Source organism: Homo sapiens, chromosome 5 (genome assembly GCF_000001405.40).
Source record: "Homo sapiens chromosome 5, GRCh38.p14 Primary Assembly".
Lineage (NCBI taxonomy): Eukaryota > Metazoa > Chordata > Mammalia > Primates > Hominidae > Homo > Homo sapiens.
Window position 1 is genome coordinate 75,167,287 of NC_000005.10, and position 14,756 is coordinate 75,182,042.

The following is a 14,756-nucleotide window of genomic DNA, read 5'->3' on the forward strand; positions in this document are numbered from 1 at the left end:
TCCAGAATGCTTAAAGAAGCTCACACTCCCCAGGTAGTAGGACCAGCATTGGGTTCCCAAGGCTTCCCTGTTTTACATCTTTACTCCTGTGACACCAAAGGCATTTCAGCAATCCAATACCCAGGGCCTAGGCCATTTCTCTGATCATCTTTGCCTGACATCACACCAACTACTGGTTTCAACTTTTAATTTTCATGACTTTTCTCTAGACTTCCACTCCTGTCTTGTCATTCTCTTCTCTCACCACTAGTCAGGATATGCCATGGTGCCAAGAGCATATGAACCACAGGCAGATTGGAGGATTGCAAGAGGGAATGCAGTAAGTGGGGAAACTGGATTCTGGGAATAGAGGCCTGTGTCTTTGGTTCCTTTAACATCATTGAAGGAACCAGAGATTATTTCATATATGCAAAGGCCAAATAGGAGACAGCCAATGCTAGACTGTGAGGCAGAAATGGATTAGAGCCAAGTTCGAAGTGGGGCAAAGGAACAAATAGGAAAGAAAAGAAGAAAAATTAAAATGCTCAGGGCTCACTTTACTCAAAGGAAGAAAAGACTCTTGATCAGTATAGGTCAGCTCTGGGAAGTGAGGGAGCAAATGGGCTATGGTGTTAGACAGAAGAAGTGCTTTGGCGTGAGGTTTCTCTGCTTCTGACAGAGAAAGGATTCACACTGTCACATGTCCAAGCCTGCATTCTTCTGGCCATTAAACTGGATCCTGGGAAGAATTCTCTCCTCCTAGTCCTCTAAACTATATGCAAAAATGACCACCCATCACCAAGATATACATTATCAAACAAGCAAACAAACAATGAAAAACAAACAACAAAAAAAACTGCCTAAACCCTTCTGAAGTACTGTTTCATACTATGAAGGAATATGCCCTGTCTATTCCCATGGCTCCCAGCAGCCTTCTCCGCCTCTGCCTGTGTTAGGCATTTCTTCTGTAAATAGGCAGAACAAATCTTCTTAATCCCAGATAGTTAATACCCTTTCCCATCCTAGAAGTTTTTAAACCCAGAGGCAACTTTCAGTAACTGAAATGAATAACAAGATATCTTCAGCAAGTGCCTCAGCCTTGCAATGTTGTCCCAGGGCCAGAAAAAATGTGTAGTAAGCTAAAATAAATATGGTTTCTGAGATAAACCATGTATACTAGAATTCATAATCTTAATGTTACCATTTATTGCAGTTACTATTAACCAACTGGTATGCAATTATAGTAGTCTGATATTTTAACCTGCTGATATATCCTGGCTGATCATTAAGCTGAACTGATCAGAAACATTATCCTGCCTCAGGCTGATTATGAAAGTGACACCAGACTCCATAAAGCTGTAAACCTCCTATCAGGACTGGACATAACTGCGTAACACTCTATAAGAAGGAAACATTCTTCTAAACCCTATAAAGCACCATATTAAAGGAGTTTTAAAGGAAAACAAGTTGAAAAAAAATACTATGTAACCAAAAAGCTCTATATGGTTATTAAAAGTAACATGTAAAATGACACCTATCATATTACACACAACAAACCCATCACACAGTAAAATTTCATTATAAATTCTAAGTATTCATTAGCAGAATGAAATTAAACTAAAATTTCTGTATGTTTTTCTATTGTGTGGTCCCAGAGATATTTAATATTTGCAAAATATAGTATTTGTTCTGCAAATAAAAGCATCACAGTACCTTATAATGTCCATTCATCACTGCATCATGTAGGGGAGTAATCTGGTATAATCCTTTGATATTTACATCTGCTCCACCTTTTAATAGTTCACTTGCTGTCCGATAAAATCCTCCTACACTAGCTTCATGAAGTGCTGTCCAACCTATCATACAAAAAGATACGGCATTTGTTTACATTTGGCATCTTAATAATGTTTTGTGCTTGCCCTTAAAAAACAACTTTGATTCTAAGTTCTTTCTTCAAAAATATTTTGATTATATGAGTCAAGATAGTATCACCTGAAAGCACACTGTATTATTTGGTAGGTTCAATAAACCTGAAGGACAAATCAAACTCCTACCCCTCAACTCTGCTGTGCAAAAATGTGAAAAGAAACAAAATATTTGAAAGTAATCTTGACCTCTCCAAATAAATAGGCTGTGCAGGAGTCATTATCAACTCAAAGTGAATGCTGGTTGCAGGCTGCTTTTCTGCAGAGATGAGGGGAGAAAAGCTTTATTTCTAGTTCAAGGTACTTCCATTAAAGTATCCAGCTGGCTGGACTACATATCACTCAGTTCAAAAGGATATATTCATTTTTTCTCCTTCTTTACAAAAAGCTATTTATAGTAGTTTAACAAACCACAAACTGCTCCAAGAAAACCAGTCATACAGGCAAATATTCTTTTTCTTTGTTGGCCAAGGACAATGGTATAAGTTACAGATATTTATTAAATTCCAGTAAATCATATGACAGATGTAAGAAAACTTTAAAGTTGCACGTCAAAAGAGACTTTCACTAGCTCTTCTCAGAACACTCATCATAAAATAGGGATTACGAATCTCAGCTTATGTTTCTTAGTTTTTATGAGTATCACAGAATGTTTACCAGCATCCCTGGCCTCAACCCACCAGATGATAGTAGAAACTCCTATCCTAGTTCTAACAACTAAACATGTTTCCAGAAACTGCCAAAAGTCCCCTGGGGAGGGGGTGGGAGCAAAAGCACTCCAGTTGAGAACCACTGCCTCAGGGAAGAAGTTTCTCCTATAGTATTATTACTGAGTTTTGACGAAGAAATGAAGAGACCCCAAAATGGTAAATATATAGTTAACAAGGTTTTTTCCCTATAAATTTCCTTAAAATGAATATGGCTTGTTTAAAGCAAAAGTTATAAAATTTATGTCTGTAGATATATATGATAGCTATAGCACAACGGATATGGGGGAATAAATGGACTATATGTATTCAATGTCCTCATATTTCATATGAAGTATTATAATATTAATTCAAAGATAACTGTGAAACATTAGAGGTGTACACTTAATCCCTAGAGTAACTATGAAAAAATACTGCAAAGACAAAGAAAGAAACAAAATACAGATTAAGCACATAGAAAACAATTAGTAAAATGGCAGACCTAAATCCAACCATTTATGTTAAATGTAAATTGACTAATCATGCTAATTTTCAATTAAAAGGTAAGACTGTCTGAATGAATAAAAAAAGCAAAACTGTCTGCTGTTTACAAGAAACATAGTTTATTTTTGTTCCAACTTTTCTTTTAGGTTAAGGTTGTACATGTGCAGATTTTTTAAATGGGTAAATTGTGTGTCACTGAGGTTTGGTGTACAAATGATCCCATCACCCAGGTAGTGTGCATAGTACCCAATAGATAGTTTTTCAACCCATGCCCCACTCCCTTCCTCCTCCCATAAGTAGTCCCCAGTGTCTACTGTTCCCTTCTTAAGAAACATGCTTTAAATATAAAGACACAGATAGGTTGAAAATAAAAGGATAGAAAAAGATACAGTAAAAGGATAGAAAAACATATCGTAAATAAGCAGTAAACATAAGAAGGCTAGATGTCTATATTAATATTATATATAGTAGAGTTCAAGATAAAGTATATTACCAAGCAATAAAGACAGACATTTCATGGTGATGAAAGAGCTAATTTATCACAAGACATGACAATCATAACGTTATGTATCTAATAACAGAGCTTCAAAATATAAGGAGCAAAAACTGCCAGAATCAAAGAAAGAAACAGACAATTCCACAATCACATTTATGAGGATTTTAACATCTCTCTAAAAAAAAATGGATCAATGAGACATAAAATCAATAAAGATATAGAACAGCTGAACAACATTATCAACACCTTTACCTAGCTGAAATTTATAAAACATTACATCCAACTAAAGAATAAACATTCAAGTGCACCTGGGATATTCAACAAAGGAGATAATATATTATGCAATAATCAATTCTCAATAAATGCAAAAAGGTCAAAATCATGTAAAATGTATCCTTTATGTTCTTTTTAGTCAAATTAGAAATCAATAACAGAAAGGTATCTAGAGAATCCCCAAACATTTTAAAATTAAACAACTTCTAATATAATCACTGGATCAAAGAAGAAAGCATATGAGAAATTAAAAATATTTCAAACTGAATTACAATGAAAATAAAACATATAAAAATCTGTGAGATGCAACTATTAAAGTAGTTCTTAGAGGTAAATTAAAGCTTTAAATGCTTATATTAGGCAAAAAGGTACAAAATCAGTGACCTCATTTTCTACCTTATTAAAGCTAAAAGAACAAAGAAAACAAAAATAAGTAGAAGGCAGAAAAAGAACAGAAATCAATAAAGTATAAAACAAATAACAAAGACAACTAAAAGAGCCATAAATCGATTCTTGAAAAAAATCAATAAAATTGAATAATACAACTAAAAAAAAACCACAACTTACCAAAACAGACATAAGATGGAACAGAAAATCTGAATAGCCTATACCTATTAATGAATTTATTATCAAAACTCTCCCACAAATAAAACTATAGGCCCAGATGGTTTCACTCCTAATTCTGTCAAACATTTAAGAAAGAAAAAAAAAAAACTTAAATGTTAGACAAATTCATTCAGAAAATAGAAGAGGTGAGAAGACTTCTTAACTTATGAGGCTGGCATAACCCTGATACCAAAACCAAAGGCATTATAAAAATATTATACACTGATAATTATAAATCTATAAAGATAGATTTTTTAAAATCCTTAACAAAATATTAGCAAATCTTGATCAAAAGGATCCAGAAAAAAGCATTATCCCCCTCAAAAAAATCACAGACAAAAGAATTATCTCTCCCCCAAAATTATAGGCCAATGTTACTCATGAACATAGATGCAAAAACCCTTATTATAGCAAATCGAATCCAGCCATATATAAAAAGAATGATACATCATGACCAGATACAGTTTATTCTAAGAATGTAAGGTTGGTTTAACATTTGAAAATCAATAAAGCTAATTCACCACAGTAGTGAAATAAGAGAGAAAAATTATATGGTCATATCAATAGATGTATGAAAAGTACATGAGAAAAGCTAGCATAAACTCTATTTAAAAAAAAAAAAACTCTGTAAATTAAGAATAGGCTCCTTGATAGAGACACAAAAAAAACTTAAAAAAATCAATGAATCCAGGAGCTGGTTTTTTGAAAAGATCAACAAAATTGATACACCTCTAGCAAGACTGATAAAGAAGAAAAGAGAGATGAATCAAATAGATGCAATAAAAAATGATAAAGGGGATATCACCACCGATCCCACAGAAACACAAACTGCCATCAGAGAATACTATAAACACCTCTACGCAAATCAACTAGAAAATCTAGAAGAAATGTATAAATTCCTCGACACATACACCCTCCCAAGACTAAACCAGGAAGAAGTTGAATCTCTGAATAGACCAATAACAGGCTCTGAAACTGAGCAATAATTAATAGCCTACCAACCAAAAAAAGTCCAGGACCAGACAGATTCACAGCCGAATTCTAACAGAGGTACAAAGAGGAGCTGGTACCATTCCTTCTGAAACTATTCCAATCAACAGAAAAAAAGGGAATCTTCCCTAACTTATTTTATGAGGCCAACATCATCCTGATACCAAAGCCTGGCAGAGACACAACAAAAAAAGAGAATTTTAGACCAATATCCCTGATGAACATTGATGCAAAAATCCTCAATAAAATACTGGCAAACCGAATCCAGCAGCACATCAAAAAGCTTATCCACCATGATCAAGTGTGCTTCATCACTGGGATGCAAAGCTGGTTCAACATATGCAAATCAATAAATGTAATCCATCACATAAACAGAACCACTGACACAAACCCCATGATTATTTCAATAGATGCAGAAAAGGCCTTCAAAAAAATTCAACAGCCCTTCATGCTAAAAACTCTCAATAAACTAGGTATTGATGGGACGTATCTCAAAATAGGAGCGATTTACGACAAACCCACAGCCAATATCATACTGAATGGGCAAAAACTGGAAGCATTCCCTTTGTAAACCAGCACATGATAAGGATACCCTCTCTCAACTCCTATTCAACATAGTGTTGGAAATCCTGGCCAGGGCAATCAGGCAAGAGAAAGAAATAAAGAGGATTCAATTAGGAAAAGAGGAGGTCAAATTGTCCCTGTTGCAGATGACATCACTTTATATTTAGAAAACCCCATGGTCTCAGCCCAAAATCTCCTTAAGCTGATAAGCAACTTCAGCAAAGTCTCAGGATACAAAATCAATGTGCAAAAATCACAAGCATTCCTATACACCAATAACAGACAAACAGAGAGCCAAGTCACGAGTGAACTCCCATTCACAATTGCTACAAAGAGAATAAAATAGCTAGGAATCCAACTTACAAGGGATGTGAAGGACCTCTTCAAGGAGAACTATAAACCACTGCTCAATGAAATAAGAGGAGACAAACAAATGGAAGAACATTCCATGCTCATGGATACGACAAATCAATATGATGAAAATGGCCATACTGCCCAAGGTAATTTATAGATTGAATGCCATCCCCACCAAGCTACCAATGACTCTTCACAGAATTGGAAAAAACTACTTTAAAGTTCATATGGAACCAAAAAATAGCCTGCATAGCCAAGACAATCCTAAGCAAAAAAAACAAAGCTGGAGGCATCATGCTACCTGACTTCAAACTATACTACAAGGTTACAGTAATCAAAACAGCATGGTACTCGTACCAAAACAGATATATAGACCCACAGAACAGAACAGAGACCTCAGAAATAACAGCACACATCTACCACCATCTGATCTTTGACAAACCTGACAAAAACAAGAAATGGGGAAACGATTCCCTATTTAGTAAATGGTGCTGGGAAAACTGGCTAGCCATATATAGAAAGCTGAAACTGGATCCCTTCCTTACACCTTATACAAAAATTAATTCAAGATGGATTAAAGACTTAAATGTTAGACCTAAAACCATAAAAACCCTAGAAGAAAACCTAGGCAATACCATTCAGGACATAGGCATTGGCAAAACTTCATGACGACAACACCAAAAGCAATGGCAACAAAAGCCAAAATAGACAAATGGATCTAATTAAACTAAAGAGCTTCTCCACAGGAAAAGAAACTACCATCAGAGTGAACAGTGAACAGGCAACCTACAGAATGGGAGAACATTTTTGCACTCTACCCATCTGACAAAGGGGTAATATCCAGAATCTACAAGGAACTTAGATAAATTTACAAGAAAAAACAACCCCAACAAAAAGTGGGTGAAGGATATGAACAGACACTTCTCAAAAGAAGATATTTATGCAGCCAACAGACACATGAAAAAATGCTCATCATCACTGATCATCAGAGAAATGCAAATCAAAACCACAAAGAGATACCATCTCATGCCAGTTAGAATGCGATCATTAAAAAGTCAGGAAACAACAGATGCTGGAGAGGATGTGGAGAAATAGGAACGCTTTTACACTGTTGGTGGGAGTGTAAATTAGTTCAACCATTTTGCAAGACAGTGTGGTGATTCCTCAAGGATCTAGAACTAGAAATACCATTTGACGCAGCCATCCCATTACTGGGTATACACCCAAAGGATTGTAAATCATGCTACTATAAAGACACATGCACATGTATGTTTTTTGTGGCACTATTCACAATAGCAAAGACTTGGAACTAACCCAAATGCCCATCAGTGATAGATTGGATTAAGAAAATGTGGCACATATACACCATGGAATACTATGCAGCCATAAAAAAGGATGAGTTCATGTCCTTTGCAGGGACATGAATGAAGCTGGAAACCATCATTCTGAGCAAACTATCACAAGGACAGAAAACCAAACACCGCATGTTCTCACTCATAGGTGGGAATTGAACAATGAGAACACTTGAACACAGGGCGGGGAACATCACACACTGAGGCCTGTCGGGTCGGGCAGTTGCCTGGGGGAGGGATAGCATTAGGAGAAATACCTAATGTAAATGACAAGTTAAAGGGTGCAGCACACCAACATGGCACATGTATACCTATGTAACAAACCTGCATGTTGTGCACATGTACCCTAGAGCTTCAAGTATATTAAAAAAAGAATAGACTCCTCAATCTGATAAAGAGCATCTATAAAAACCTATAGTTAAAATCATGTTTAATCGTGAAATATGCTGAAATATTGAAAGAGGCAAAACTAATATAGAGTGAAAAATATCAGAACAGTAGTGGCATCTTGAGAGTGAGGAATGACTGAGAGAGGCATGAGGGAACTTTCTGGGATAGTGTATCTGTCAACATTCATCAAATGGCATATTTAAGATTTGTAGTTCACTATATGAAAATGTTACCTCAGAAAACACACACACACACACACACACACACACACACATTCACACACACCCCTGAACTCTAATAATATTCATGCTGGGGTGTTTAGTGATAAAACACACTGTTGGTTGGGGTGGAGCCAAGATGGCCGAACAGGAACAGCTCCAGTCTACAGCTCCCAGCGTGAGCGATGCAGAAGACGGGTGATTTCTGCATTTCCAACTGCGGTACCGAGTTCATCTCACTGTGGAGTGCCGGATAGTGGGTGCAGGACAGTGGGTGTAGTGCACCATGTGTGAGCCGAAGCAGGGTGAGGCATCGCCACACCCGGGAAGCGCAAGGGGTCAGGGAATTCCATTTCCTAGTCAAAGAAAAGGGTGACAGACGGCACCTGGAAAATTGGGTCACTCCCACCCTAATACTGCGCTTTTCCAACAGGCTTAACAAACAGCACACCAGGAGATTATATCCCGCACATGGCTCAGAGGGTCCTATGCCCACGGAGCTTCACTCATTACTAGCACAGCAGTCTGAGATCAAACTGCAAGGTGGCAGTGAGGCTGGGGGAGGGGCGCCTGCCATTGCTCAGGCTTGAGTAGGTTAACAAAGCGGCCAGGAAGCTCGAACTGGGTGGAGCCCACCACAGCTCAAGGACGCCTGCCTGCCTCTGTAGGCTCTACCTCTGGGGACAGGGCACAGACAAACAAAAGACAGCCATAACCTCTGCAGACTTAAATGTCCCTGTCTGACAGCTTTGAAGAGAGTAGTGGTTCTCCCAGCATGCAGCTTGAGATCTGAGAAAGAGCAGACTGCCTCTTCAAGTGGGTCCCTGACCCCCGAGTAGCCTAACTGGCAGGCACCCCCAAGTAGGGGTGGACTGACACCTCACATGGCCGGGTACTCCTCTGAGACAAAACTTCCAGAGGAACAATCAGGCAGCAGCATTTGTGGTTCACCAATATCCGCTCTTCTGCAGCCACTGCTGCTGATACCCAGACAAGCAGGGTCTGGAGTGGACCTCCAGTAAACTCCAACAGACCTGCAGCTGAGGTTCCTGACTGTTAGAAGGAAAACTAACAAAAAGAAAGGACATCCACACCAAAAACCCGTCTGTACGTCACCATCATCAAAGACAAAAGGTAGATAAAACCACAAAGATGGGGAAAAAACAGAGCAGAAAAACCGGAAACTCTAAAAATCAGAGTGCCTCTCCTCCTCTAAAGGAACGCAGCTCCTCACCAGCAATGGAACAAAGCTGGATGGAGAATGACTTTGACGAGTTGAGAGAGGAAGGCTTCAGAAGATCAAACTACTCCGAGCTAAAGGAGGAAGTGCAAACCAATGGCAAAGAAGTTAAAAACTATGAAAAAAAATTAGACGAATGGATAACTAGAATAATCAATGCAGAGAAGTCCTTAAAGGACCTAATGGAGCTGGAAACCACGGCACGAGAACTACGTGACAAATGCACAAGCCTCAGTAATCGATGCGATCAGTTGGAAGAAAGGGTATCAGCGATGGAAGACGAAATGAATGAAATGAAGTGTGAAGAAAAGTTTAGAGAAAAAAGAATAAAAAGAAATGAACAAAGCCTCCAAGAAATATGGGACTATGTGAAAAGACCAAATCTACGTCTAATTGCCGTACCTGAAAGTGACAGGGAGAATGGAACCAAGTTGGAAAACACTCTGCAGGATATTATCCAGGAGAACTTCCCCAATCTAGCAAGGTGGGCCAACATTCAAATTCAGGAAATACAGAGAACGCCACAAAGATACTCCTCGAGAAGAGCAACTCCAAGACACATCATTGTCAGATTCACCAAAGTTGAAATGAAGGAAAAAATGTTAAGGGCAGCCACAGAGAAAGGTCGAGTTACCAACAAAGGGAAGCCCATCAGACTAACAGTGGATCTCTTGGCAGAAACTCTACAAGCCAGAAGAGAGTGGGGGCCAATATTCAACATTCTTAAAGAAAAGAATTTTCAAACCAAAATTTCATATCCAGCCAAACTAAGCTTCCTAAGTGAAGGAGAAATAAAATACTTTACAGACAAGCAAATGCTGAGAGATTTTGTCACCACCAGGCCTGCCCTAAAAGAGCTCCTGAAGGAAGCACTAAACATGGAAAGGAACAACTGGTACCAGCCACTACAAAAACATGCCAAATTGTAAAGACCGTCGATGCTAGGAAGAAACTGCATCAACTAACGAGCAAAATAACCAGCTAACATCATAATAACAGGATCAAATTCAGACATAACAATATTAACCTTAAATGTAAATGGGCTAAATGCTCCAATTAAAAGGCGCAGACTGGCAAACTGGATAAAGAGTCAAGACCCATCCGTGTGCTGTATTCAGGAAATCCATCTCACGTGCAGAGACACACATAGGCTCAAAATAAAGGGATGGAGGAAGATCTACCAAGCAAATGGAAGACAAAAAAAGGCAGGGGTTGCAATCTGAGTCTCAGATAAAACAGACTTTAAACCAACAAAGATCAAAAGAGACAAAGAAGGCCATTACATCATGGTAAAGTGATCAATTCAACAAGAAGAGCTAACTGTCCTAAATATATATGCACCCAATACAGGAGCACCCAGATTCATAAAGCAATTCCTTAGTGACCTACAAAGAGACTTAGACTCCCACACATTAATAATGGGAGACTTTAACACCCCACTGTCAACATTAGACAGATCAATGAGACAGAAAGTTAACAAGGATATCCAGGAATTGAACTCAGCTCTGCACCAAGCAGACCCAATAGACATCTACAGAACTCTCCACCCCAAATCATTAGAATATACATTCTTTTCAGCACCACACCACACCTATTCCAAAATTGACCACATAGTTGGAAGTAAAGCACTCCTCAGCAGATGTAAAAGAATGGAAATTATAACAAACTGTCTCTCAGACCACAGTGTAATCAAACTAGAACTCAGGATTAAGAAACTCACTCAAAACTGCTCGACTACATGGAAACTGAACAACCTGCTCCTGAATGACTACTGGGTACATAATGAAATGAAGGCAAAAATAAAGATGTTCTTTGAAACCAACGAGAACAAAGACACAACATACCAGAATCTCTGGGACACATTCAAAGCAGTGTGTAGAGGGAAATTTATAGCACTAAATGCCCACAAGAGAAAGCAGGAAACATCTAAAATTGACACCCTAACTTCACAATTCAAAGAACTAGAGAAGCAAGAGCAAACACATTCAAAAGCTAGCAGAAGGCAAGAAATAACTAAGATCAGAGCAGAACTGAAGGAAATAGAGACACAAAAAACGCTTCAAAAATTAATGAATCCAGGAGCTGGTTTTTTGAAAAGATCAACAAAATTGATAGACCTCTGGCAAGACTAATAAAGAAGAAAAGAGAGAAGAATCAAATAGACGCAATAAAAAATGACAAAGGGGATATCACCACCGATCCCACAGAAATACAAACTACCATCAGAGAATACTATAAACACCTCTATGCAAATAAACTAGAAAATCTAGAAGAAATGGATAAATTCCTCGACACATACACCCTCCCAAGACTAAACCAGGAAGAAGTTGAATCTCTGAATAGACCAATAACAGGCTCTGAAATTGAGGCAATAATTAATAGCTTACCAACCAAAAAAAGTCCAGGACCAGATGGATTCACAGCTGAATTCTACCAGAGGTACAAGGAGGAGCTGGTACCATTCCTTCTGAAACTATTCCAATCAATAGAAAAAGAGGGAATCCTCCCTAACTCATTTGATGAGGCCAGCATCATCCTGATGCCAAAGCCTGGCAGAGACACAACAAAAAAAGAGAATTTTAGACCAATATCCTTGATGAACATTGATGCAAAAATCCTCAATAAAATACTGGCAAACCGAATCCAACAGCACATCAAAAAGTTTATCCACTATGATCAAGTGGGCTTCATCACTGGGATGCAAGGCTGGTTCAACATATGAAAATCAATAAACGTAATCCATCATATAAACAGAACCAAAGACAAAAACCACGATTATCTCAATAGATGCAGAAAAGGCCTTTGACAAAATTCAACAACCCTTCATGTTAAAAACTCTCAATAAATTAGGTATTGATGGGACATATCTCAAAATTATAAGAGCTATCTATGACAAACCCACAGCCAATATCATACTGAATGGACAAAAACTAGAAGCATTCTCCTTGAAAATGGGCACAAGACAGGGATGCCCTCTCTCACCACTCCTATTCAACATACTTTTGGAAGTTCTGGCCAGGGCAATCAGGCAGGAGAAGGAAATAAAGGGCATTCAATTAGGAAAAGAAGAAGTCAAATTGTCCCTGTTTTCAGATGACATGATTGTATATATAGAAAACCCCATTGTCTCAGCCCAAAATCTCCTTAAGCTGTTAAGCAACTTCAGCAAAGTCTCAGGATACAAAATCAATGGGCAAAAATCACAAGCATTCTTATACACCTATAACAGACAAACAGAGAGCCAAATCATGAGTGAACTCCCATTCAAAATTGCTTCAAAGAGAATAAAATACCTAGAAATCCAACTTACAAGGGATGTGAAGGACCTCTTCAAGGAGAACTACAAACCACTGCTCAATGAAATGAAAGAGGATACAAACACATGGAAGAACATTCCATGCTCATGGGTAGGAAGAATCAATATCGTGAAAATGGCCATACTGCCCAAGGTAATTTACAGATTTAATGCCATCCCCATCAAGCTACCAATGACTTTCTTCACAGAATTGGAAAAAACTACTTTAAAGTTCATATGGAACCAAAAAAGAGCCCGCATCGCCAAGTCAATCCTGAGCCAAAAGAACAAAGCTGGAGGCATCATGCTACCTGAGTTCAAAGTATACTACAAGGCTACAGTAACCAAAACAGCATGGTACTGGTACCAAAACAGAGATATAGACAAATGGAACAGAACAGAGCCCTCAGAAGTAATGCCGCATATCTACAACTATCTGATCTTTGACAAACCTGACAAAAATAAGAAATGGGGAAAGGATTCCCTATTTAATAAATGGTGCTGGGAAAACTGGCTAGCCATATGTAGAAAGCTGAAACTGGATCCCTTCCTTACACCTATACAAAAATTAATTCAAGATGGATTGAAGACTTACATGTTAGACCTAAAACCATAAAAACCCTAGAAGAAAACCTAGGCAATACCATTCAGGACATAGGCATGGGCAAGGACTTCATGTCTAAACACCAAAAGCAATGGCAACAGAAGCCAAAACTGACAAATGGGATTTGATTAAACTAAAGAGCTTCTGCACAGCAAAAGAAACCACCATCAGAGTGAACAGGCAACCTACAAAATGGGAGAAAATTTTTGCAACCTACTCATCTGACAAAGGGCTAATATCCAGAATCTACAATGAACTCAAACAAATTTACAAAAAAAAAAAACAAGCAACCCCATCAAAAAGTGGGCAAAGGATATGAATAGACACTTCTCAAAAGAAGACATTTATGCAGCCAAAAAACACATGAAAAAATGCTCATCATCACTGGCCATCAGAGAAATACAAATCAAAACCACAGTGAGATGCCATCTCACCCCAGTTAGAATGGTGATCATTAAAAAGTCAGGAAACAACAGGTGCTGGAGAGGATGTGGAGAAATAGGAACACTTTTATACTGTTGGTGGGACTGTAAACTAGTTCAACCATTGTGGAAGTCGGTGTGGCGATTCCTCAGGGATCTAGAACTAGAAATACCATTTGACCCAGCCATCCCATTACTGGGTATATACCCAAAGGATTATAAATCATGCTGCTATAAAGACACATGCACACGTACGTTTATTGCGGCACTATTCACAATAGCAAAGACTTGGAACCAACCTAAATGTCCAACAACAATAGATTGGATTAAGAAAATGTGGCACATATACACCATGGAATACTATGCAGCCATAAAAATGATGAGTTCATGTCCTTTGTAGGGACGCGGATGAAGCTGGAAACCATCATTCTCAGCAAACTATCGCAAGGACAAAAAACCAAACACCGCATGTTCTCACTCATAGGTGGGAATTGAACAATGAGAACACATGGACACAGGAAGGGGAACATCACACACTGGGGACTGTTGTGGGGTCGGGGGAGGGGGGAGGGATAGCTTTAGGAGATATACCTAATGTTAAATGACGAGTTAATGGGTGCAGCACACCAACGTGGCACAGGTATACATATGTAACAAACCTGCACATTGTGCACATGTACCCTAAAACTTAAAAGTATAATAGTAATGATAAAAAAAAAGAAGCCACATGTTGAACATGGTAGACTCAAAAAAAATAAAAAATAAAAAAAATAAAACACACTGTTGTCTATAATTTCTCTGAAATGCACCAAAATAAAGATGGATTGATGGATGGACAGAGAGATTTCAAGATGGATA

At 38.1% G+C, this 14,756-nt stretch overlaps 1 protein-coding gene across 15 annotated transcripts in view; it reads right to left on the bottom strand.

Annotated features, from left to right (window-relative positions):
• The window catches only part of ANKRD31 (ankyrin repeat domain 31), a 168,582-nt gene that overhangs the window by 98,990 nt on the left and 54,836 nt on the right, over positions 1-14,756 (bottom strand). For all 15 annotated transcript variants that reach the window (NM_001164443.1, NM_001372053.1, XM_017009319.2 and 12 more), the window contains one exon: positions 1,693-1,835. In NM_001164443.1, coding sequence (NP_001157915.1) covers positions 1,693-1,835 — 143 coding nt within the window. The remainder of the gene's footprint in view (positions 1-1,692; positions 1,836-14,756) is intronic.